Genomic DNA, 25,579 nt, shown 5'->3' with positions numbered 1-25,579 from the left:
GAACAAAACCACTCACTGGACCCAGGGTGTATGGGAATATTTCCCACCTCTGTGCTTAGGCCTGTGGCTGTCCTTGTCTACTGTTTATTCCTCTCTTTATAAACTGGTAAACTTTTAGTTTGTTCCCAAGTCTGTATTCACATATCACCATCTCTGAGGAAACTTCATTGGTATTTTCTATCCCAAGCATCAGTAAGATGACTCATCTTTTTGGCCTTCACAATCCTTTACTAGGTTGTCTCTCCTATTATATTATATATAACTTTTTTATTCCAAGTGTTCAATACAGTATGTGAAACATAGTAAAAGATTCATCTGTATGTGTCAAATGAGTAAATATCAATAATCATGGATATAATACATATAAAAATTATGAATATTTGATGGATACATTTATTTAATTGTTGTTCTTTTTTCCCTAAAACTGATAAGTATTAATTTATGTACCAACAGTGCAATATTGAAAATGAATTTGCACATCATATAATAAAATCATCATTTAGTACACATGATGCTTTGAGCCCTGCAAATAACTGCTTGCCTAAGCTGTTCTTGATGAGTTATTATTTTAGTCTACACAACAGTAAAGAGAAATGATTTGTTTGTGTATTTATAAATAGTTTCTGTGTCATGTGTTTTTAGATTTTTTTTTTTTTTTTTTTTTGGTGGAGAGAGGGATAAGCAATGGAATGGCAAACACAGTAGAGAGAAAGGGAAATAAGATTCTTAAAAGAAGTCAGATATGTTCTAAATTTTTTTTTTAACAATAATGTGGGCTCAAAAGGCATTTGACATCTTCCATATAGTATAGAAAATTTCATCAAATCAGTCATTTATCTTAAAGGAAAAGGATGATAAATACAAATTCAAATTGTTTTTTTTAACTTAAAAAAGTTAACAAAACTAAATTAAAATGAGCAATTTGCTTTTTTTTTTTTTTTTAATAAAAAGGGAATGATTACCAAAATTAAATTGACATTTTGACCTTTGGTTATTTTGTAGAGTTGTGGTTATCTTCCTTATGGATTAATAAATAATTTTTCTTTACCCTTTTAACATGCACCATAAATTAGACCACTTTTCTTGGCATGTACTTTTTCAGTCACATTACTGCTGTAATAATTAATCAAAGGAGGGTTGATACCTGTCTTATTAATGTAATCATAAATAGATTTTTCACACTAATTTTGGCAAGTGTGATCTGAAATACTGGACATATGTGTAACATGAAAAGATTAAGCTGACATCTGTGTTTCCAATAGTGTGGATACCAAAGACACAAAGATTAGGGAATGACAAGGCTGGAAGTCAAAGTACAGTGTTAAGAGCAGTTTTGGGAATTAAGGCAATGACTAGATTTTATGAAATCTTCTTTTGTGGGCCCCATTGGGCTTGACAGTGTAATTCACATGTATTTTTTTATTTATTGTTTTTAAGGAAGGAATATAACATATATTAGCTCTTGCTATGGGTAGTGTCTTTCTCAAACTAATCCTGTAAAGTATATACTCTTAAATTTTTTTTTGTCTATGAATTTTTTTTATGAGTCAAGAAATACGTGCATATTCCTCATTTTTCACCCTGAATTCAAAATGCTGGTCCCTCAACTAAAATATGAAATCCTTGTAGGCAGGGAATGTACCCTTAGACTGATGATAGGTTTTACTTTCTAGGCCTCTGTGCTGTAGAAGACCCTACACTGGCCCTGCTTCAGGTCTGACCTTTCTTATGAAGTAGAAAGTTTATGGGGCTATGGGGATGTATCCCTCTGGGACCCAGGCCCCGCCCTTTTCCTTCCTAGACTATGTCTCTACTGACTGAAAATGAGCGTAAACACCTGAATCCAGAATTTAAGGTCTGGGCATGATCTAGCCCCTGACTGCTTTTCTGGTACCCTCTACCAAGAAAAGTGGTCAGGCACCTATTTCATTTTATTCACTGAACACACCCAGCTCATCTTTGCCTCAGAATGTGGCACCAGATGTTTTTTGTCTGCCTCCAGTGCCAGAATCTCCATTTTGAAGACTGGATTCCTCCCTATGTCCAGGTTTCCACTGAAACATCAACTCCTCAAAGTGCATTTTTCAGATCAACTGTGGCAAAGGGATTATTTTATTAATATTTGTTTGTGTGTATGTCTGTGTGTGTTTGTGAGTGTCCACATGGAATGCAAATTTCACTAGAGCACAGTTTTGTCCTCTTTATTATTGTTTTGTCCTCTGTAAAGTTTTAGGGTCCAGAATGGCAACTAGAACATGAGGCAACTCAATAAATATTTGATGAATCAATGTTTATTGAGTGAATTATCTGGTATAATTACATGTTCAATAAATGTATAATGTGTGAAGAATAAAGCAATGAATTAATAGTTGAATGACTTCCAAAACCTATGGTCATTTCACTGTTACACACTACTCATACTCATCCAATGAACCCTACTGGGCCCCTACAAAGGCAAGAGGGTTGGCTGTACACTATATATAGCAGTAAATTCTTTATCTTCCTGTCCTTGCATTGTGACATGACAGATCCTCCCACCAATAAGTGGAGACTATCTCTCCACCCTTTGCATCTTGGTCAGCCATGCTGCCTGCTTTGGCCAATGAGTCATTGGCAAACATACCAGCAAAGAAGCTTTTCTTCTCTTGCTACTCTGGAAACCACTGAGACTGCCATGCAAAAAGCTCAGACATTCTATTCCATGATGAGAAACATGTGGCCCTGTCCCCACATTAACCAAGGTGACTGGCTACCAACTACCATCTATATAGGAATGACACAATCCTAGATCATCTAGCCTTTAGCCAACCCACGAAATAACCACAGATATATGATTGAGGTCAGAAGCCAGCAGCTGAGCTGGCTCAGTCCAGAGATACCATCTAGCCAACTCAAAAAAGTATGAGTAAAATACACGATGGTTGCTATTTTTCATCACAAAGTATTGGTGCAATTTGTTACATGGCAAAATTGAACTGATACTGAGGCTATATGGAAAAAAATAAAACAGGTACTGCTGTAACTGTGCGTTTTCATAAATTTACGTAGCTTTTTAAAGTGTCAATATTGCACTCAAATGCAAAAAAGTCATTTTGCAATGGCTGCTTTTAAAGACCTCATTAATAAAATGCCTCAAGAATTTGACAGAGGAAGAAAGACTAGAATTTATCTTAATATAATCGAATTTGATGAGTCATTTTTATATACCTCAAAGGTATATTTGAGTGACTAACTGAAAACAAGTTCCAAGTTGAATAGTTAGAGGTTGAGTTAGAATAGATGAAAGCCTTTCTCTTAAATGCTGACATCACAGGATTTGCCATGATCATATTAAGTTTGAAAGAACAGCAGTGAGATTGCAAGTTTAGAATGTTCTGTTTAAACCATGGTTCAAATAAATTTTGATATTGTGATACTAAATTTATGGCTGAAGATCAAATCATCTTAATGTCATTGGACAACATGTTTTGATATATACATTAACAAACACCATGTTATTCTGCTTAAAAATCATTGGAAGTTTTGCTGAGAAAACTTCTGGCCTCCAAGCATATTTTAATGAATGATTCCAATACCACACTAATCTGATACGTGAATTTGAATTGCTAATATTATAAAAATTTGCTGCCCATGCTGCTACTGTGGATGCTCACTTCTGCTAAAGCAGATGTCTATTATCCATCTTGCCACATACACATTAAACTGCTAATCTAAGGGGTAAAAAAATTAAATAGCCTATTTCTCTTGTTATTGTTACATTGAAGAATCCCTAAGATGTAATGGTGAGGCAGATTTTTTATCATAATATAATTTTTTATATTGGTATATATTCACTTCTAACATTCCTCTAGCCCATTAGGGTACTTTGAACGGTTCTGCCAACAGCAATATGTTCAATCTGTAGTATTATGTTTTCCCAATCAGAAAATCACGTATGCTATTCCTATGTCTCATATAAGCATTCTGTCCAAGCCATTCCAAAGTACCATCTGTCAGTATAGGCACTATCATTCAAATGAAGATGTTTCTCATCATTTAGTAGGAAAGAAATGGTGGGCAAAATAACCAGGACACAAAAAGGACCAAGAGATTGAGAACAGAGTCTATCTGTCTCTCCTGAGTCAAGTAAGAACTTTCAAATAGAGTAAGCGTGAAGTGTGGTGGCACATTCCTGTAGTCTCAGCTGAGGCAAGAGAATAGCTTCAGACCAAGAGTTAAGTTTGTAGTGCACTAGATCACAACTGTAAATAGCTACTGCACACTAGCCTAGGCAACATACTGAGATCCTGTCACTAAAACATAAACAAAATAAGATAATAAAATAAAACCTTCCACATATATCCAAATATCAGCCAAATAAAATTGTTTTACAGTAAGACATTTTCCTCCTTCTCTCAAAGAATAATATTTTAGACTGATGTGCTAATGATGGGAAGGACTCATTCAGCCTTGGCCATGGATTCTGAACCTTTATCAAACACTTTAAATATTCCTACTGTGGTGGTTTTTAAATGCATTCAAAAAGTCTTTGATACTTCTTTTCTCAGGAGATACAACTTTATTCTAAGTGTGGGCTGAACTTAGTAACCAACTTCTAATGAAGAGAAAGTAGTAGAAGTGATGATGTGTTACATCTGAGACAAAGTAGTAAAAGGCATCGTGCCTTCCTTCTTGCTCTGTCTTGGCTAAAGCACTTTTGAGGAAGCCAACTTCCATATTATGATGATCCTGGAGGAGTCCTATAGACAGGTCCACATGGCAAGAAAAGACGATCTCCTGACAACAGCGTTGTTAATGAACCATTTTGAAAGCTTATCTTCTGGCCCCATCTAAGCCTTTAGATGACTGCAGCCTTGACCAGCATATTAAGTACAATTTCAGGAAAGTACCTGAATCGTACTCACTCAGCTAAGCGGCACCTGAACTCTTGACTCACATAAAGAGTGCAATATGAAATGTTTATTTTTTTAACTGTTATGTGTTGGGGTAATCTGTTACTCAGCAAGAGATAACTAATACATCCACCAAAATAATCAATGAATTCAATAAAGCCATTAATTTAAAATTTTTTTAAAAAACGTTGATTTTCAATATCTTTGTTCCCTTCAAAATGGGTAGTTTGCCTGAAATATTTTCTGGCTTTCATAAAATCTTGTGAGATTATTTTAGGAAAAATTATAAAAATAAAATGTGGGCAATTAGGAAAAGTGCTTTATGTATAACTGAAATTATAAACAGAATGGAATTGAGAAGTTAGGCATGTATGTATAATTATATATAAATATATATGTAGTGGAGTTACCTGATCTGGGATGCTCTTACTACAAACTTACAGGCACATAAGCATATTTTCCCCAGTATATTTATGTATGCACTAGCATATGAGGTACTTTTTCTTTGAAAGCTTGGAAGAGGAAATAGTTTGTAATTGGGGGATGTGTTAGGGTTTGAGAAAGAAGGAGGAGGGGGAAAGAGAGATAGATATATATAGAAAGAGAGGACAAGACATTGTGAGAAAGTGGCTGAGAAGTCCCACAACTGGCCGTGTGCAAACTGTAGATCTAGAAAAGCCAGTGTTAGTCCAAATCCAAATTTCAAGTCCAAAGGCCTAAGAACCAGGGAAGCCAGTGGTCTAAATCCCAGTCCAAGTGCAGGAGTAGGTGTAACGAGTTATTCCTGTCAAGTATGACGCAGGGAAAAGTGGGAAAATTCCTTCCTCCTACACATTTTGTTCCGTTCAGGTCCTAAATGGATTGGACGATGTCCACCCACATTGAGAAAGGCAATCTACTTTGCTGAGTCCAGCTATTCAAATGCTGATCTCATCCAGAAACACCCTCACAAACAAACCCAGAAAAAAATGTTTACCCAGGTATTCCTTAACCCAGTCAAGTTGACACATAAAATCAACTATAACAGGGGATGATGCTAATAGTGAAAGAATAAGTGACATATAAGAAATGGTGTATCCCACGGCCAGCCCCCGAAGTTAGGTCTGATTTTCTATGGTAGAGAAGGAAGGGCCAAAAGCTGATTTAACCATTCAAGAAAGAATATGTCACCTTGGCTGACAATCACCTTGTGCCCAGAGTCCCATAAAATATGAAACTGAATGAGAGAGAAAAAAATCATTCTCCTATCTTTCCTACAAACCATCAATACCTTGTAGAACATTAATTACCATCCTTAGGAAACAAAACATTAGAGGTCACATAATGGACAGTGGCAGGAGGGCTCCAGCACTTGGAGTCATAGACATTGCAAGGGACTAACGATATAAAAGCAAGAGGAGGGAAACAGGGCAGTCCCTATGTGGTGACTGCAGTTGACAAGTTGTTTGCTCACATAAGACCCTCCTTTGAGAACGTTCAGAAAAACTGGTGTAATCTTAAATGATTAATCTCTTAGTAATTAGGAATCCTGTGGGTGAAAAAAGTGCAATTATTTATAGCCACAGTCCAGGAGGTCTTGGCTATGCATTAAAGTTTATAAATATGCCTACAACTTCAAAGTGTTTCTTTCCTCCCTCACTCCCTCTCTCCCTTCTTTTGTTGTCTTTGTTTTCCTTTATTCTTCCTTATAGCTAACCTCCCTTCTTTTTTGCTTTCCCATTCTTTTATATTCTATATTGTTGGATTACTTTTTCCCTAGAATCTAGATGCACTGGTTAAGAGTTAGGACTCTGGTTCAGCTGGGATTTAGCGATGTGGGCTTCTTGCCACACATACATACACAACCTGCTTCATGTTAGATGCCTCATCCTATTTTCTAACCCTACTAGGGGTCTTTTTGACCATACTCTATGGCTTATCACACACCCCTGGAATCTAGAAAATTTAGTAATCATCTTATGTCATTCCAGATTTTAGTTTCTGGGGGTTTGAGTGTCACCTTGAAGACTTTCTATTGCAGCAGGTTGAAACTTGGCATACATTTTGACAGCCAGATGCGATATTTCTTCCTGATTGCATGGCTCATAGTCACTTTAATAATGAATTGTTTTCTCAAGTAAAACTCAGTGGAGGTGCAACATCTGGTTTCTAGTGAAAAAGCCAACTTAATTTACTCAAATCCCTGGTGTGATTTACAAAGCACCAAAGAAGGTGGAACACTTAGACACGTTGTAGAATACCGACTGACTATGTCTACATTGGGAAGGGTTTCCTAAATGGCTCATTTAAGGCAATCAGGGAATCTTTTATTTGGTACCACCCTAACAGCCGAAATGTTTACATTTCTAAATGAAAACCTTTTTCTGCAGCTGAAAACATTTCCAAGAAAAAGTAAATGCTTTGGTCATTAAAGGCAAAGACAAGGTTTTCTTTTGAATGGTGGAGATTGTAAAATATTTTCCAAATATTGCCAAACACTATGAGAAAAATGTAAGCATTTGATAAATTCCTGGCTTCAAGTACAATCATTAGTAGAATTTTAAGCAAGTTCAGATTTTCAGACAGGCTACCAATTTTTGCAGTGGAATAGCTGGATATTTAAAAACACACCCAAATACAATGGTAAATTAAATGCCAATGTGAACAAAATTATCAGGATAATTAACACTAGCATTCACATATATGCACAATTTTTATAAATGACTAACAAAAATTAATCTAATGCCTCAATTTTGTGACATTTATAAACATTTTATTTGTTTCTTTAAGATGGTGAACTCAGATTTAGAGTTAATATACATTTAATTCGCATTTTCTGCTCACTCATAACGTGGTACGTAATATCAAGGAAAAAGTCAAAACTTGGTTTGGGGCTATGAAAATGTCTCTACCACAATCAGCATTTTTTTTTCTTGTGGTATGATTGATACATGAAAGAAAATGGTGGTTACCAAGAGATTTTATGGCTCTTGAGTTTGTCATAACAAAATCAGTGAAGTTATAATGAGCTAAATATAATAAAATTAAATTTTCTAAAGCAAACAAAAATGGGTAAGTATAATTCCCTACAAAAATAAAGAGGGACTATTGTCTTAGGTTTAAGTGGTTTATAATAATGAATTGTGAAGGTAGAAAGTCACACAAAAGCTTCTTATAAACTTTATAATTTTAGGACTGAATAAGTATAAAGCTGGCATGAAGTAATCATCATAACACCAAGGCTAATTATATTCTTAATGATATCAATGGAATCAACTAGTAAATATGCTTCAGATTTTGCACTTCTACACACATGTATTTATATATCAATAGGTATACTCCTTTCTCATAGTTTTGTGTCAATTTAAAACTTGCATCTTTGGTTTTAGTTTTTAAAATTAAAAATGAATTAAGAATTAAAAGTGTATAATTTTCAAATTCTACATCTGTTATGAATTATGATAAGAGCTGTCATGTAAATTACATCATGAAACTTTACAACCTCCCTAACCCATAATATTTTTGTTCATTTGTTATAGATGAACCAAGCCAGAATCCATGCAGTTACACTGAAAGTCTAATAAAAATCAAGAATTCTTGTTCTTTCTGATTATTTACATTCACTCTAATAACAAAGTATGTGTTTTAATCTGACTTTCCATTAAGTGTAATATATTCCACTCAACACTACAACAAAACTATATTTTATTCTGATGCTTTGGTTTGGATCCATGCTGCCACCCAAGTCTTATGTTCAATGGTGATCCCCAGTGTTAGAGGTGGGGCCTGGAGGGAGATGATTGGATCATGGGGGTGGATCCTTCATGAATGGTAAAGCACCATCCCTTTGGTGCTATTCTTATGATAAAGTTCTCACAATATCTGGTTGTTTAAAAGTATGTGGCACCTCGCCCCAAACCCCAACTCTTCCTCCTGCTCAGGGCACCTAAGATGCACCTGCTTCCTCTTTGTCTTCCACCATGATTGAATGTTTCCTGTGGCCTTCCCAGAAGCCGATCAGATGCCAGCATCATGCTTCCTGTACAGCCTGCAGAACTGTGAGCCAATTAAATCTCTTCTTTGTAAATTACCTAAACTCAGGTATTTATTTATAGCAATGCAAGAACAAACTAGTACCTTCTTTTATCATTGTGAGTCTTAATTTTTAAAATATTTTAAATACAATATGATTATTTGTAAGATGTTTGTCATTACTAAAGTTCACAAATGTAGAAATTTTTGGCATTTCTTAAATACACTAAAAGTTAGATTGTGGGGTTAAATGACATAATACAGCAGATGATACTGCTAATTAATTTTACACTTTGCTTATGGACATACATACTTTGCATCCTATAAATACTTGTTAAAATTACATAATGTACATGGTGACTTCATAAAGTAACTGCTGTTTTGTTTTGAGACAAAATTCTTTCTCTAGAAAACCTCAAGTTTTCCACTTAAGACCTTTAACTAATTAGATGAGATTCACCAACATTACTAAAGATAATTTTCTTTACCTAAATTCAATTGACTGTAAATATTAACCACATCAAAATGCCTTTATATCAGGATCTAACTAGTATTTTACCAAACAACTAGGCCTGATAACCTCGTCAATTAACTATGGAGAAGTTGTTGGACCGAGCATTTAACCAAGAAGAAACTAAGCAAAAGGCCCTAGGGCAGGAGCAATGGTTAATATAATTAATATCAAAGAGAACATCTCTGTTAAAGAATAATACGAAAAAGAAGGGAGAGATAGGGACAGGACTTAAGGTAAATAGCTGTGACAAAATAGTCTATGAATATTTAGGCCACAGGAAGTACTATGGCTTTCATTGTAAGTGATCTAGAGAGCCACTGCAGAGTGCTGAGCAGAGGATACATATGGCTTACAGTAGTAAAATGACATAAATTAGTGGCCTAGGCAGAAATGAATATATATTGTACTACCAAGGCAATTGTTGAATAGGATATACAGCATGAGAAAAGAGGAGGGAAGTCAAGAATAACCCCGAGTGTTTATTTGGCCTACATTACTGGATAAAAGAAGTTGCTATTTGCTAATATGGAAAGCCAAGACAAAGAGTTGGTTCAAATGAGGGCAAATAAAATTTAACTTGGAGATCCTTTTTGATTATCCAAGTGGAGATATCCAGTAAGAAATGAGAGGTAGTTATTAGAGGTAGACATATGAGAGAGAGTTCTCTGTTTATTGATAGTGTTTAAAACCATGGAAGTGAAATAATTACTTGAGAGATTAGAAGAAAGAATCTGAAGAACATAGCCCTAGAATATTCAAATATTCAGGGTTTGAGAAGATGAAAATACCCAACAACAAAACAACTACAATAGCAGCAGCAACAATGTCAATAACAACAAAGCTGGAAGTGTACAGAAGTTTAAGCCTAAAACTTTAATTTAAGGTGCTATTTCCCAAATCTGATGTAGGATTCTTCTCAAATAAAATAATTTTATGCCCAAATACATTTTGAATATTCTTCATACTGTATCACCTTCTGTGAAATTCTTAATATCTCCATATTAAAGGTTCTGAGAAACTCAATATAAATGAACTTATTTGAACTGTTAAATTCAATATTTCAAATATTTTTTGATCATGGAAGCCTTTTGTTCTCAAAGGGAGCTGACGAATTCCATGGTCCTAAAATTATTTTTCAGACTTTTTTTTGCCATATCCCCTTATAAATACTATTTTGATTTGATTTTCCTATTCTTTTAAAACTTATAGTTAATAATATTGCCTGCAAATTATTTGCACTTTTAGTAATGGACATGGGGAGAAAGTGTCTAGATTTTCCATTATAAAATAAACATAATGATCACTTCCTTATTTAAAATTATGCCTAAGTATTTTATTTTGTTGATGCTATTGTAAATGAAATTGTTTTCTTCATTTATTTTTCTGATTATTTGTTGTTAGTGTAAAGAAACATTACTGAACATGATCGGAGACATGGAATGTGATTAATATATCTGTGTAATAAAAAATCTAATTTTTGTATGGTGATTTTGTATCCTCCAACTTTACTGAATTTGTTAGTCCTACGTTTTGGTGTGTGAAGTCTTTAGGGATACACACACACACAAACACATATATATATATATGATCATGTCATCCACATTACATGTCAGGAACAATTTAATTTCTTCCTTTTCAGTGTAGATGCCTTTTATTTATTTGTTTTGCCTAATTGCTCTGGATAGGACTTCCAATACTAGACTGAATAGAAGTATCTAGAATAGGCATTCTTGTCTTATTTCTTATCTTAGAGAAAAGCTTTCAGTTTTTTCCTTCGGGCATGTGGTCTTGTCATCTACAGCCCCTTTTATTCTGTTGAGATTCTTCTACACCTAATTTGTTGAGAGTTTTTATCATGAAAGGATGTTGAAACTTTTCAAATGCTTTTTCTGCATTTATTGAGATGATAATATGATTTGTAACCTTCATTTTGTTAATGTGGTGTGTCACATTTATGGATTTCCATATGTTGAACTATCCTTGAATCCCAGGATAAATCTCATTGATCATAGTGCATGATCATTTTAATGTGCTGTTCAATATAGAATTTTTAATATTTTGTAGAGGGTTTTTGCATCTGCATTTATAAAGGATGTTAGCCTGTAGTTTTCTTTTTTTTTTTTTTGTTATGTCCTTGCCCATCTTTGGCATAAGGGTAATTCATAAATTTAACTGAGGGAGTGAAAGATCTGTACACTGAAAAATACAAAGTACTAACAAACAAAATTGAAAAGGACACCAATACTCAAAAGATATTCCATGTTCATGAATTGGAAGTATTAATATTATTACATCTCTGTAGTATTCAAAGTAAATTACAAATTTAATGCAATCTCTATCAAAGTTCCAATATTTTTCACAGAAATTAAAAAAATCAACAAAATGTTTATGGAGCCACAAAAGACCCTGAATAGTCAGCAATCTTAAGCAAACGAACAAAACTGAAGGCATCACACTACCTGAACTAAAACTATATTACAAAGCCATAGTAATCAAGACAGTGTGACGTTGGCATAAAAACATAGAATAATAAAAAATAGAGAGCCTAGAAATAAATTCACACATTTGAAGTGCTAAGAGCACATGATGGGAAAAGGACAGTATTTTCAATAAATGATACTGGGAAAACTGAATTTCCATATGCAGAAGAATTAACTCATGCCTTTATTTCATACCACATACAAAAATCAACTCAAAATGGATCAAAGATTTATACATACAATCTGATGTTTTAAAATTACAATACAGAAGAAAACATGGGAGAAAAGCTTCATGATGTTGGTCTGGTGAATGATTTTTTGTATATGATCACAAAAGCACAGGCAATAAAATATAAAAACAACAAATGATCAAACTAAAAAGCTTCTGCATAGCAAAACAAAAACAAAAACAAAACAATTATGGCTGGGTGTGGTGGCTCACACCTGTAATCCTAGCACTTTGGGAGGCCAAGGCTGGTGGATCACTTGAAACCAGGAGTTCAAGACCAGCCTGGGCAACATGGTGAAACCCGATCTCTACAAAAAATACAAACATTAGCCGGGCATGGTGGTGTGTGCCTATAGTCCCAGCTGCTTGGGAGGCTGAGGTGGGAGGATCACCTGAGTCTGGGAGGTCGACGCTGCAGAGAGCCAAGATCATGCCATTGCACTGTGACCTGGGTGACAGAGTGAGACTCTGTCTCAAGAAAAAAAAAAGAAAAACAAAAAACCAATCAATAGAGTGAAGAGACAACCTATGTAATGGTGGAAAATATTTACAAATCACATATAGTAATATCCAAATATATAAGAAACTCAAACAACTTAACAGCAAGAAAACAAACAAACAAAAAACATTTAAAAGTGTGTAAATGACCTGAATAGACAACAAAGTTGGGAGGAAAAAAATAATTGAACTAGGTCATAACCTGGAGGAAGATGGTATGAAGACAAGGAAAAGAGAAAGTTAAGAGCGATTGCAAGATTTTGACCTGAACAGCTTGTGAAAGTTATTGCCAATAACTGAGATGGCAACAACTTGGAAGGTGGGTATGGGAACATTATTGCTTTGTAGGGTGAGAAGTAAGTTAACTTTGAGACACCTATCGGACATGCAAATGGAGACATCTAAAAAGGCATTGGACATTTGAGTCCCATCAGAGAAAAGTTATGACCAGACAAATTTAAGAATGATGAACATAGGATATTATTTATCTTCTAAACAGTATGAGATGAACCAGAATAAGAATATAGATAACAGAACACACTACAGGCTGTACCACTCTCCCATATACTGAACAAGATGCTGTAGTTGGAATGTGAAATAACAATTTTCCAATAGAAGTTTTGATGCCACCTTTATGACAGTAATAAAAGACCAAAAATTAGGCTGGGCATGGTTGCTCACGGCTGTAATCCCAGCACTTTGGGAGGCTGAGGGGGGCAGATCACTTGAGGTCAGGAGTTTGAGACGAGCCTGGCCAACATGGTGAAACCCCATTTCTGCTAAAAATACAAAAATATGGACAGGCACAGTGGCTCACGCCTGTAACCCCAGCACTTTGGGAGGCCGAGGCAGTCGGATCACGAGGTTAAGAGATCAAGACCATCCTGGCCAACCTGATGAAATCCTGTCTCTACTAAAAATACAAAAATTAGTTGGGCGTGGCAGTGTGTGCCTGTAGTCCCAGCTACTTGGGAGGTTGAGACAGGAGAATCGTTTAAACCCAGGAGGTGGAGGCTGCAGTGAGCTGAGACTGTGCCACTGCACTCCAGCCTGGGCAACAGAGCGAGACTCTGCCAAAAAAAAAAAAAAAAAAAAATTAGCCAGGCGTGGTGGTGAGCACCTATAATCTCAGCTACTCGGGAGGCTGAGGCAGGAGAATCACTTGAACCCAGGAGGCAGAGGTTGCCGTGAGCTGAGATCATACTACTGCAGTCCAGCCTGGGCAACAGAATGAGACTCTGCCTCAAAAAAAAAAAATGACCAAAATTTGTAGTAATGGTGAAAATATTACCAATATGGTGATCCCCTGCTGTAGTCACTTGCAGTCTCAAACAAATAATTTCAAGTTTCAACGCTTTTTATTTTTTTCTTTTGAGTCAGAGTCTCACTCTGACTGCACCCAGGCTGGAGTGCAGTGGTGCAGTCTCAGCTCACTGCCAAGTCTTTTATTAAATACCTCCTCGTAATCTAGACACAACAGCCATTAAATCTCTCTCTATCTTCCTGTCTTTCTCACTCTCTATCTCTTATGAAGTATGATTAAATTAATTAGTCTAACACATAATTTAAAAATTGTCTTATATGAAATGTGTAGTGAGTTGAGAGGCAGAGTCAGGACACTTGGAGCATGTATTGGACATTAAAATTTCTGCCAATCAAATTGTTAAGTCTATGAGAAGCCAGACAACTAATGTGTTGTTTCTTTTAAGTAACATATTTAGTAGATTACTGTTTCATCAGTGCATTTCCTTGTTAGTAGAGCAGTTACATTACTTCATAGATACTTTTTCCCATCTCATTTGAATTCTTTTGCATTTTTGCCTTTGTTTCTTTATATCTGCATCAAATGCTGTTTGGCTTCATCAAATTAATAGTTTTGGAACCATTTACACGCAGTCATATATTTGGGACAGAGTTAGTCATCAAACATGAAGGTTGATGAAATTTGTTAAAAGATTTGAATAATTTTGTTTATTTTTAAAGATGAAATTAAGCAGTGGAAAGTCAGAAAGCCAGATTTCATTAATATTAAATAGCTATTCTCAGCATGATAAATTGCAGGTAAAAGGCAAGAAATCAGCCTCCCATTTGCCTGCTACAAAATGACAGCCTTGTGATTGTGGGAGCTGTTTGTTCCTACATGAGAAATACGTTGCCCAGTGTCAGGCATGTCCTGATAGGACCAAAACAGTGCATGTCATATGGGTGACCTTTTCCTAATATTGCACAAAGAAATCAGGCTGAGAGAGGTTAATAATGTACTCTCAAGCACATGGCTGGGTAAGTACCAGGATAAGGCTTAAGCTTCCATCTCTTAGCTCCTCCTCACAGACTTTTGGCCTCATCTTGCAGTATATCAAGCTTTTACTATAACTGACTGCTTCTCCTGCTGCATGGCCATCATCTTCCTCTTGTTAGATGCTCATCAAGAAAAGTTATGCAGTTAGTACAGGACCAAGAAAAGAGAAACTAAAAAAGAATAGAATAAAGCCATTGATGCTGATCAGGCTCTGACAAGTCTTCCTACATCCCATCTTTGCTCATGGCATATGGAATGAAAATAATGCAAAGTGGGGTGAAGCTCAAGGTGTTTTCTAAGGAACTGGAATTTTGTCAGAGCATGAAAGAATGTATGGTTACTCAATTTTGGTGGTGCTTCAGTGAATTTAAATAGACCATGCCCAAGATTACATAAGTGAGCTATCAATAAAGAGACACATTTTCTGATTATGTAAGTAATTTATGACCCTTGAGCAAAATTTGAAAAATGTAAAAATATTTCAAAAGAAAACAAAATTATCTTTAACCTTTATAAAGAGACACCACTAAAAATATATTGGATGTATGTCCAACTGCATTTTGCCTTATACAATTGAACCCATATTTTATAGTTTCCTCTGTTTTTCTTTTCACACTTTATTGTGAGCATATTTACAATTTACTAAAGTGAGTTAGTTCATACACATTATGATTATGCAATATTATCATATGGTATATAAACACTCTATATTTATTTATTACCCTTCTGTCAATGTTTAGATTGTTCCACATTTGTTGTGAATAAAATTGTAATGAACATGTTGATTATAACATTTGAACAGTTAAAACACAATGCTTTAATATGCAAGATATTTTTAAAATTATGTAGTACTTCTTTATATTTGCCATTTAAGTTGACACAATCAGGAGTAAGGGAAATACTATTCTTATAAGCCCAGTTTTTAGATTAGTTGGTGGAAAACTGGCAATATTTCACTGAATTAAAATCAAAGCTGCTGGGTTCTATAATGATAAAACAGCAAGTGTGCTTTGAGGCCAGCGTTTTTCAATACTCAATTGCAGGCCCAGAAAAATAGTCTAATGCTGATTACAAATACTTCAGCATGATTAAGGCTGATCTCTTCAGAAATAACCTTGGCTTTTTAGTTAAAATGTGACTGAAAGCCCTTCATGGATCTTTTTCTGGAAGTCTTGCTTTTCCCTTTAGGCATGATGTTAGTCACTATGGTGCAATTTTGATCATGTGTACAATATTTATATTTATGTAGTCACTGACACCTCATCCTGTCATGATTTGAATGCAGATGACTGAGTAGGTAATGATGATGACTTATTATGGTAAAAGTAAACGTATGACTTAAATTCACCTAAAGGAAAACCTTTACTCTGAAGACAGGTGGTATATTTAGGACCATTTATAATCTTCATAGTTTTTTTTAATTTCCTTCTGCAATTTTTCAAAACCATAGAAATTTTAATCCTTATAAATATGGGAAATTAAATGAAGACAATCCTATTAAGTCATTCTTTTAAAACTAACAGGAATAGGGAAGAAGGGGACATCATTTCTTTTATTTACACATGATATATTGGTTATTTGGCTTGTGTAACTTACCATGACTTAAAACTGTATCAGCCATTTAATTATTTTGGTACCAAGATATTAATAAATTGTATGATGCCTTTATTGATCCACCCAGTTCAGATGTGGATATCAGCATTACTGGTCACCTCTGGGGTTGTTTTCATAGGACATATCAGAGTGACAAATTGCATTGATCATGATGGCAAATTGATGCTATAATGAAAACCACATTGTACATATGCTTTCTTTTTATTAGAATGAAACTACTGGATTTTGCTTTGTTTAACTAAAATATATCCTAATTGGTTAAATATTTTCAAGTATTACATGCTGAACTAAATAAGTTCAAGTCCCCAATATTTTAGGCAAAATAAAGTGATAGCCCATATTTAATATTATAGGATAGAAAATTTTTCCAGACTCATGCAATCTCTGTGATTCTTTATATACCTAATTGATTTATTCTCTGTTTTCTTTTAGGGCATCATGTTATATAGATTCAATTTTGTCATATTCCTCATTTTATGCTTTATACATTTACTGTGCACTGTACTTTCTAGTTTCCCACGAAATACTTATCAATCTATTATAAATAATTCTGTTGTATATTGAGCAAGCAATCTGAAGTCACAGTATTTCTTATCTAAGCTATAAATTAGACATTAAAACATTTTAGAGATGCATTGCTTCCAGAAAAACATTCCCACAGATGGAAGCCTGTTAACTATTCTTACTGTGCTGCTTCTTCAGTCCAACATCAAGTAGGATGTTAATTTGCCATTTGGGAAGGTTTTATTGATGGTTTATTGTGAGACAATTCTAAAATAATGGTTTTATTCTGTTTTAGCCTTGGACATAGAATAAGAGGACCCAAATTCTGGGCCTATCAACAGTACTCTATGGACATATAGCTCTGTATAAATTTTGTAACTTGTAAGAGATTTTTCTCTCATTAATGAAATGGACAATACTAGCTACCTTGTTATTGGGGTTAATAAATGAATGTTATGTTTTGTAGGCTGTAGTGCACCAGGAATATACAGTGATATTAATGCCTTAATTGTTGACATTAAAGTATCACTAACTGCATTCTAATTATAGATATTCATATTTCTGCTAAAAGTAGCAAGTGCCTAAAAATGTGTAATATAGGACTTTATTTTGCTAGAGCTGCCAAAATACACCCTAGACTGGATGATTTAACAGAAAATATTTTCTCACAGTCCTAGGAGCTAGAAGTCTGAAATCAAGGTGTTGGCAGGACTGATTTAATTTTGAGACCTCTCTTCTTGGCTTGTAGATGACTGTCTTTTCCCTTTGTCTTTACATGGTCTTGTCTGACTTTGTTTAAGGACACCATTTACAGGGACTGGATAAGGTCCCACCCTAATGATCTCATTTAACATTAATTACCCCTTTAAAGATCTTATCTCCAAATACACTTACATTCTGAGATATTGGTGGGGGGTGGCTAGGGCCTTAGCATATGAATTTAGGGGAGAAACTATTCAGCAAACAACACTGTATAATAATGTTTCCCAAATTATAGTCTGCTGAGCACTTGTATCCAGATGTACTTTAGTAACAGATTATACTGGTGAAACACATTGGGAGAATGCTAAGTGATATACCAAAAAGTTTGTGTTTGGTTGAGATTGTGGATCTTTTTACAAGCTAAGAATGGTAATTTCCAGGAGAGTGTTATAGGAGTTAGGCTTTCCTATATTTATCTGACCAAGGAATCTGAATTTGTGGTTTAGAAAAGGCTGTTGCATATGCATAGTAACTCTTTTCTTTACTTAAAAGACAGTAATACAAATCTGACAAACTTGAAACATATATCTTAGGGTGGGCCCAATTATAGATGGGATAAGTAACCATCTCACCATATTTGTGTGGAGAAGCAAAAAAAAAAAAAAAATGCCCTCCATTTTATTAGAAGCCAAATGAATGTAGCATTTTTCCGATGCAAGCAATTACCATAATTGCCATTATATTTTACCTAAGACAGATGTTTCTGTCTAGGTTTTTGTTTTTCAGAAAGATAAAATGCTTTTATGTTAATGGGTTATGTTTTATACTTTCATTTTAATAATATCAGTTATTAACTCTTGAGAATGGTCTAATAAAATACTAATTTCCCTTTTTGTTAATGAGATCTCGAGGGACTGGAACAAAGGAAGGTAAAATTAAATGGAAAGAAAAATAAGAAAAGACAGAACAGTTGTTTTCAATCCACACGCTGCATGTAAGTCACGTGATAAGAGTTTAAACATGATATTAGTGTGGCCCTATCCCTAACATTTCAGATTCAAATGATTGAGGGAAGGACCGAGGTGCTTTAAAGCTCTAATCATGATTCTAATATGCAGTCCAGAGTAAAATTATGATTCAGAGGAGAGAGGCTAAGAGGTGTGCCAAATCTATTAGGGAGAGCTCCAGAAACATTAGGTGCTAGCGTAGGATGACAAAAACGAAAAAAAAAAAAAAAAGAATTGTTAATGGTAACAGAAAGTGAAATACAAAAATACAAAGGCCTTATTGATCAAATTCCCTGAATCAAGGAGTGAAAAGGAAGTGATAAGTAGGTATTGAAATGGAATACTATGCAGCCATAAAAAAGAATGAGATCATGGTCCCTTGCAGGAACATGGATGGAGCTGGAGGCCATTATCCTTAGCAAACTAATACAGGAACATAAAACTGAATACCACATGTCCTCACTTATAAGTGGGAGCTAATCAATGAGAAAACATGGACACATAGAGGGGAACACCACACACTGGGGCCTATCTGAGGGTGGAGGGTTGGAGGAGGGAGAGGATCAGGAAAAATAACTAATGGGTATTAGACTTAATACCTGGGTGACAAAATAATATATACAGCAGACCCATATGACACAAATTTACCTATGTAATAAACCTGCACATATACCCCTGAACTTAAAGTTTCAAAAATGACTCCTTGTTTTTCTTGTCTCAAGCTCCTGCAAACCACCAGTCTATATTTTCTTTGTGTGTGTTTACCTATTCTAGGAATCTCATATAAGGGTAATCATATAGTATTTGTCTTTTTGTGACTAGCTTATTTCACTTTACATAATCCCCCTCAAGGTTCATCCATGTAGCATGTATCAGAATTTCTTTCCTTTATAAGGCTGAATAAATTTCCATTGCATGTATTTACCACATTTTCTTTATTCATGCATCTGTCAATGGACAGTTAGGTTGCCTACACCTTTTGACTATTAGTAATTTTGGTGCTGTGAACATGAGTACACAGACCCATGTTTCAGATCTATTCCAGATCTTCATTCAGTTCTTGTAAGTATATACCCAAAAGTGAAATTGGAAAATCCCATGATAATTCTATTTTCAGTTTTCTGAGGAAACACGATGCTATTTTTCATAGTGGCTACACCATTTTATATTACCATTAACAATGCACAAAAATTTCAACATCTTCGCTTTCTTGCCAACATTTGTTATTTTATTTATTTGACAGTAGCCATCCTAATGGGTGCGAGGTGGTATCTCATTGTGGCTTTGATTTGTATTTTCTAATTATTAGTGACATTGAGCTTATTTTTGTGTCCTTGTTGGACATTTGTGTATGTTCATTAAATCAGTGTCTATTCAAGCTCTTTGTCCATTTTTTAATCAAAGTTTTGTTGTTTTTTCTTTGTCTTATTTTTGTTTTTATTGTTGAGTTACAGGAGTTATTTATACATTCTGAATGTTAATCCCTCATTAGATATACGATTTGCAAATATTTTCCCTCATTTCATAGGTTTCCTTTTTGCTCAGGAAGGCTATAATTGTGCCTTTGATGCACAGAGGTTTTCATTTTGATGTAGTCCAATTTATCTATTTTTATCTTTGTTGCCTGTGCATTTGGTGATATATATTAAAAAGCTATGACCAGGCTGGGCATGGTAGCTCACATATGTAATCTCAGCACTTTGGGAACTCAAGGCAGGTGGATCACATGAGGTCAGGAGTTCACAACCAGCCTGGCCAACAAGGTGAAACCCCATCTCTATTAAAATACAAAAACTAGCCAGGCATGATGGTGGGTATCCATAATCCCAGCTACTTGGGAGGCTGAGGCAGAAGAACTGTTGCAACCTGGGAGACAGAGGTTGCAGTGAGCTAGTGAGCTGAGATCATGCCTTTGCACTCCAGCCTGGGCAACAGAGTGAGACTCCATCTCAAACAACAACAAAAGAAGTTATTACCAAATCCAAAATAAATATTTTTTCCTATGTTTTCTTCTACTAGTTTTATAATTTTAGCTTTTACATTTAGGTCTTTGATCCATTTTGATACCTTTCCTTCTTTTTAAACCAAGAAAGCCATATCTTTTATTTATTAACTATTTGGTGCAGGAGTTCCATGAACAGCATTCCATATAATAACCCTGGGATCTAGGTTACTTCAATTTTGTGGCTCTGCCATTTCCTATGAATCAAAACCTGCACTGAATTATCTTTATTCAACCAGTCAGCATGCAAGGAGAAATAGCAAGTTGAGACTCTCAGCAGAAATTTTGGAGGCCAGCCTTTGCAGTGCTCTTTATTTCTTCATGTGGATTTGAATTACTGTCTAGTGTCCTTCAGCTTGAAGGACTCCTTTTAGTATTTCTTTTAAGGCAAGCCTGCTTGTGATGCATTATCTTGATTTTTATTTATCGTGGATGATCTTAACCTCTCTTTCTTTTTTGAAGAACAATTTTGTCACACATAGAATTCTTGAATCACAGGTTTTTTTTTCTTTTAGTACTTTGAGTATTTCATCTCACTGCCTGTGACCTCAATGATTTCTGATGCCAAATTGGTTGACAGTCTTCATGAGTATCCCTTGTATATGATTTATCACTTCTCTTTTGCTACCTTCCAGGTCCTTTTTTTGGCTTTAACCAGTTTGATTATGATTTGTTGTTCACTGTGGACCTCTGTTTATCCTATTTGAAGTTCATTGGGTCCCCTGTATGTGTAAATTAATGTGTTTAATAAGAACTAGGACATTTTTGTCCATTATTTGTTAGAATATTTTTCATGCCTGTTTCTCTTTCTCCTCTCCTTTTGAGACTCTCATCATGCATATGGCAGCATACTTGATGATATCCCACAGGTCTTGTAGGCTCTATTCATTGTCCTTGTTCTCTTTTCATTGTGTTCTTCAGATTGGATAATCTCAATTGACCTAACTCCAAGTTAGGTCGAGTTTTCTGCCAGCTTAAATATGCTACTAAACCCATCCAGGGAATTTTTAATTTTAGTTATTATATTTTACTTTTTAGTTCCATAATTTCAATTTGGTTTTTATTATTTCTATTATTTTATAGGTAATTACCATTTGGTGAGATACCATTCTCATACTTTCCCTTTACACATGGTTTACTTTAGCTCTTTTAATATATTTTTAAAATAGTTGATTTAAAGTATTTGTCTAGTAAGTCCAATGTCTAGGCTTCTTCTTTTCTCTGCCATTCTTGCTGACATTACTTGACAGAATTACTGTTTACAAATCAGCACCCCACACAATTTAATTTCTGGGGTAAAACCTGTATCCGTGTTTTTAAAATATCCCCTGGCTACATCGGCATTCAGTCAAATTTGAGAACTACTAAAGTAGGAAGAGAATTTGAGAGATGGGATGATCCCAAGAGGCTGAGCAAGGTATAGACCATTGTGGGCTTTCTTCTGCCAGAATGAGAAGGTGAGAATGATAACACTTGAGAGCAGCATCACTGTTGTTTTCCCTACCACTTCCTGAACAGGAAAAGTCTAAGGATGAATTTTGAAATATGACATTCTCCAAGTTGTGTTACTTTCTCTAAGCTATGCCTTTACTTATGCTTTCTCTGTGTCTAGGTCTGCTAGCTGCACATAGTTCACTTATTTCTAATAAGCCTCTACTCTGGATGGAATCTATACAGAATCATTTAAAATTGTGTTTCTTAGTCATAAAAGTGTGATAATGACCTGGGAATGTTTCTAAAGCTATAAGATACATGCTGCCACCAATACCCCAAGATTTTGTTGAACAAAAGGTCATATATTTATCAGGCAGAGCTCATTTCCAGCTCTAGGGTTACCTCCTTACTTCTTAGATAGGGATGGCTTTGAAGAAACCTGTTACATTGTGCTCAGTATTTACATTAGGGATTATTCGGGAAATTTAGTGTAGTGTCTGATAATGTAGCTATGTTTTCTATCACATTCAGCAATGTAATTGGATCTGAGTTCAATTTATCTCAACCTTCAATTTAAAAATAAAAAATATGAGAAGAGTTTGTAAATATGTTTTCTAACCAATGACCCAACCTGTTAACCACCATTTTGACTCTCCAATGTCTTATAAGAAAGTATATACTTTAGTTCTTTTCTGTTTTGATTCTAGTGTATAATGAGTGCAACCCAAGATAATTTGAAATCAGGTCTGGTGTGCACTTCAAAATGAAAATAAAAGTCATATGGTTATACATCAAAAAATTTTGGCCTCATCAACTCCCTCTGGGAAGAAGAAAAGAAGTTTCCCAGAATCCTACAGAAGTGCACCTTTTGGTTCTTGGGTCCATATACCAAGAAGGAGAGGCTGACTGAGTTTAATAACAGCTGCATAATACATCTGGATAGTGGGTATCTATTTAAGATTACTAATAATATAAAAATAGTTGATGTTCCATCAGTTAGAATTCTTAGGTAAAAATGAAATAAAACAACTCAAACTGTAATTCAGATACTTTCTCTAAATTGTTGGATATGCTGGGGGTGGTAGCTTACCCACACTCCCAGCATTTTGAGAGGCTGTGGTAGGAGGATTGCTTAAGCCCAGAAATTTGAGAACAGTTGGGTCAATATGGCAAAACCCTGTATCTACAAAAAATACAAAATATCAGCCAGGCACGCGCTTGTGGTTTCAGCTGCTCAGGAGGCTGAAGTGGGAGGATCATCTAAGCCTGGGAGGTTGAGGCCACAGTGAGCTGTGATTGTGTCACTGTACTCTAGCCTGGGTGACAAAGTGAGACCCTGTCTAAAAAAAAAAAAAGAGAAAAGAAAAGAAAATTATTGGCTAGATGGGTACACATAAGTGAAAATTTTAATTTGAGTTAATTTAATTCAATATTTTCAATATTTTCTAGAATACTAGCATAGTAGTTTTCTCTACTGTTTTTATATGTTTTATTATTTATTGAGATATGTGTTTAGCCCAATAATCAGAGTTAGAGCAGCTGTATTCTGAATTGTTTTGTAATAAATTTATTTTTAAATCTATCTTACTGATTCTTGAACTCAAAAGTAAAAAGCAATGACAATTATTTTCTTCCTTCACATTCCTGCTCAGGTATTCTTAGGAGACTGAAAGAAGCAACTAAGAAATAACAGCAAAATATTAAGAGGTTTCAAAAGTATACAGTTTAATAACTACTTTGGACTAAAATATCTGGGGAAATTAATTTATACTTAGGTAGCTAGATTTTATTTCAATGATGCCTAGTACTCTATAATTTTTCTTAACACTTTTTATAATTAACTTATTTTGACTAAATGCTAACTGTATTGTATGCATTTCCAGGATAAGGAATTTGAAGCTAAGTAATTTATGCAGATTATTAATCAAACCCAGGCCTTGATAGAAGACCAAGATCATTTCTATTGTTCTATTATAGCTACCTCAAAAAGCAAAATCCTCAGAAACTATTGCTATATATATGTGTGTTATACACACACACGTATATATGTATGTATGTATGTATATATGTATATGTATATATGTATACATATGTATATGTATATATGTATGTGTATATGTACATATATGTATGTATACATATGTATATACGTATATGTATATATATACACATACTTATATATATAGAAAGAGAAACAGAGACAGACATACAGACAGATAGACTGAGGGAGAGAGAGTTCATTTCCAAAACTGAACTTCAGTATCACATAAAATATATTTCATATATCTAAGTCAGAGTGACTATGTTGTAGAAACAAAAATAATCCAAACTGGATTTTCAGAAAACTATACAAATATTGCAAAACTCATACATATTAATTCACTGATAATCTGAGAATTATTTTAGTTTTTTTTTTCTCTTAAGGAAGAGAAGAATAAGAGAAGTAAAAATAAAGATCAAGTGATATCCTACCATTTTCATATTAGGCACTTTCATATATATCATCCAATTTCATAGTTACTACTTTTTGAGGTAGAATGCCCCATTTTACAGATGAGGAAACTGAGGCTGAGAGGGAGTTTAGTTAGAAAGTATTAATTTGTTAAGTCTGGATTCAAAATAAATTCTAATTTCAAAATCCTTGCTTCATCCATATTTGGAAATGGGTTAATTTTACTGAATTATCACAGTTGGTAATGACAGAGAAATTCATTGAAATATTTTATTACATTTACACATTTTACAAAGTCCCAAACCAATGATTATCAAAAAAGAGACAAAAAGTTAAAAAGGTAATGTATACCTCACATGATGATTCAGAACTCGGTTTTTAGCATAGCAGTTTTCTTCTGATATTTCCCATTGTATCTAGGTTTAGAATATGCAATTCTTAAAATGCTTTATATTTTAAAAGCAGGTATGTGAGCTCCTTATTTTTGTTCTGTATCTCACAAAGCAACATTGCCTTAAATTATATCAGAAGACCGTGGATTTCTTCTATTTATTTTATAATTAAATAATGAGGAAAACATATTATACCCAGATCTTTAGAGTCTTTGCAATTATTGCTTTGAAGAAAATATCCTTTCAACCTTCAGTTGAAGGGAGGTAGATACAGAGCAGGCTTCCTTCTGTCCCTGTGCCCCCATTACAATTTGGACGTGACCTTGGCTGACTCATTTTAGGGCATAAGGACCAATGTGTAGGATCATTTGATGAAAGGCAGAGGACTGTGATAAAGTCCACATGGGATAGAGATGGGAGGAGAGTTGACACTTGTACAGAACAATGATGATTAATAAAAACAGAATCTCTCCATTCCCTTCTTATGTTTTATTCTGTGTAAATATTCAAGGCTAGCACCATCTTCTTAAATTTATTGTCTATTGACAG

The sequence above is a fragment of the Homo sapiens genome, chromosome 14, assembly GCF_000001405.40.
Source record: "Homo sapiens chromosome 14, GRCh38.p14 Primary Assembly".
Taxonomy (NCBI): Eukaryota; Metazoa; Chordata; class Mammalia; order Primates; family Hominidae; genus Homo; species Homo sapiens.
Note: the sequence above shows the minus strand (reverse complement) of the source record.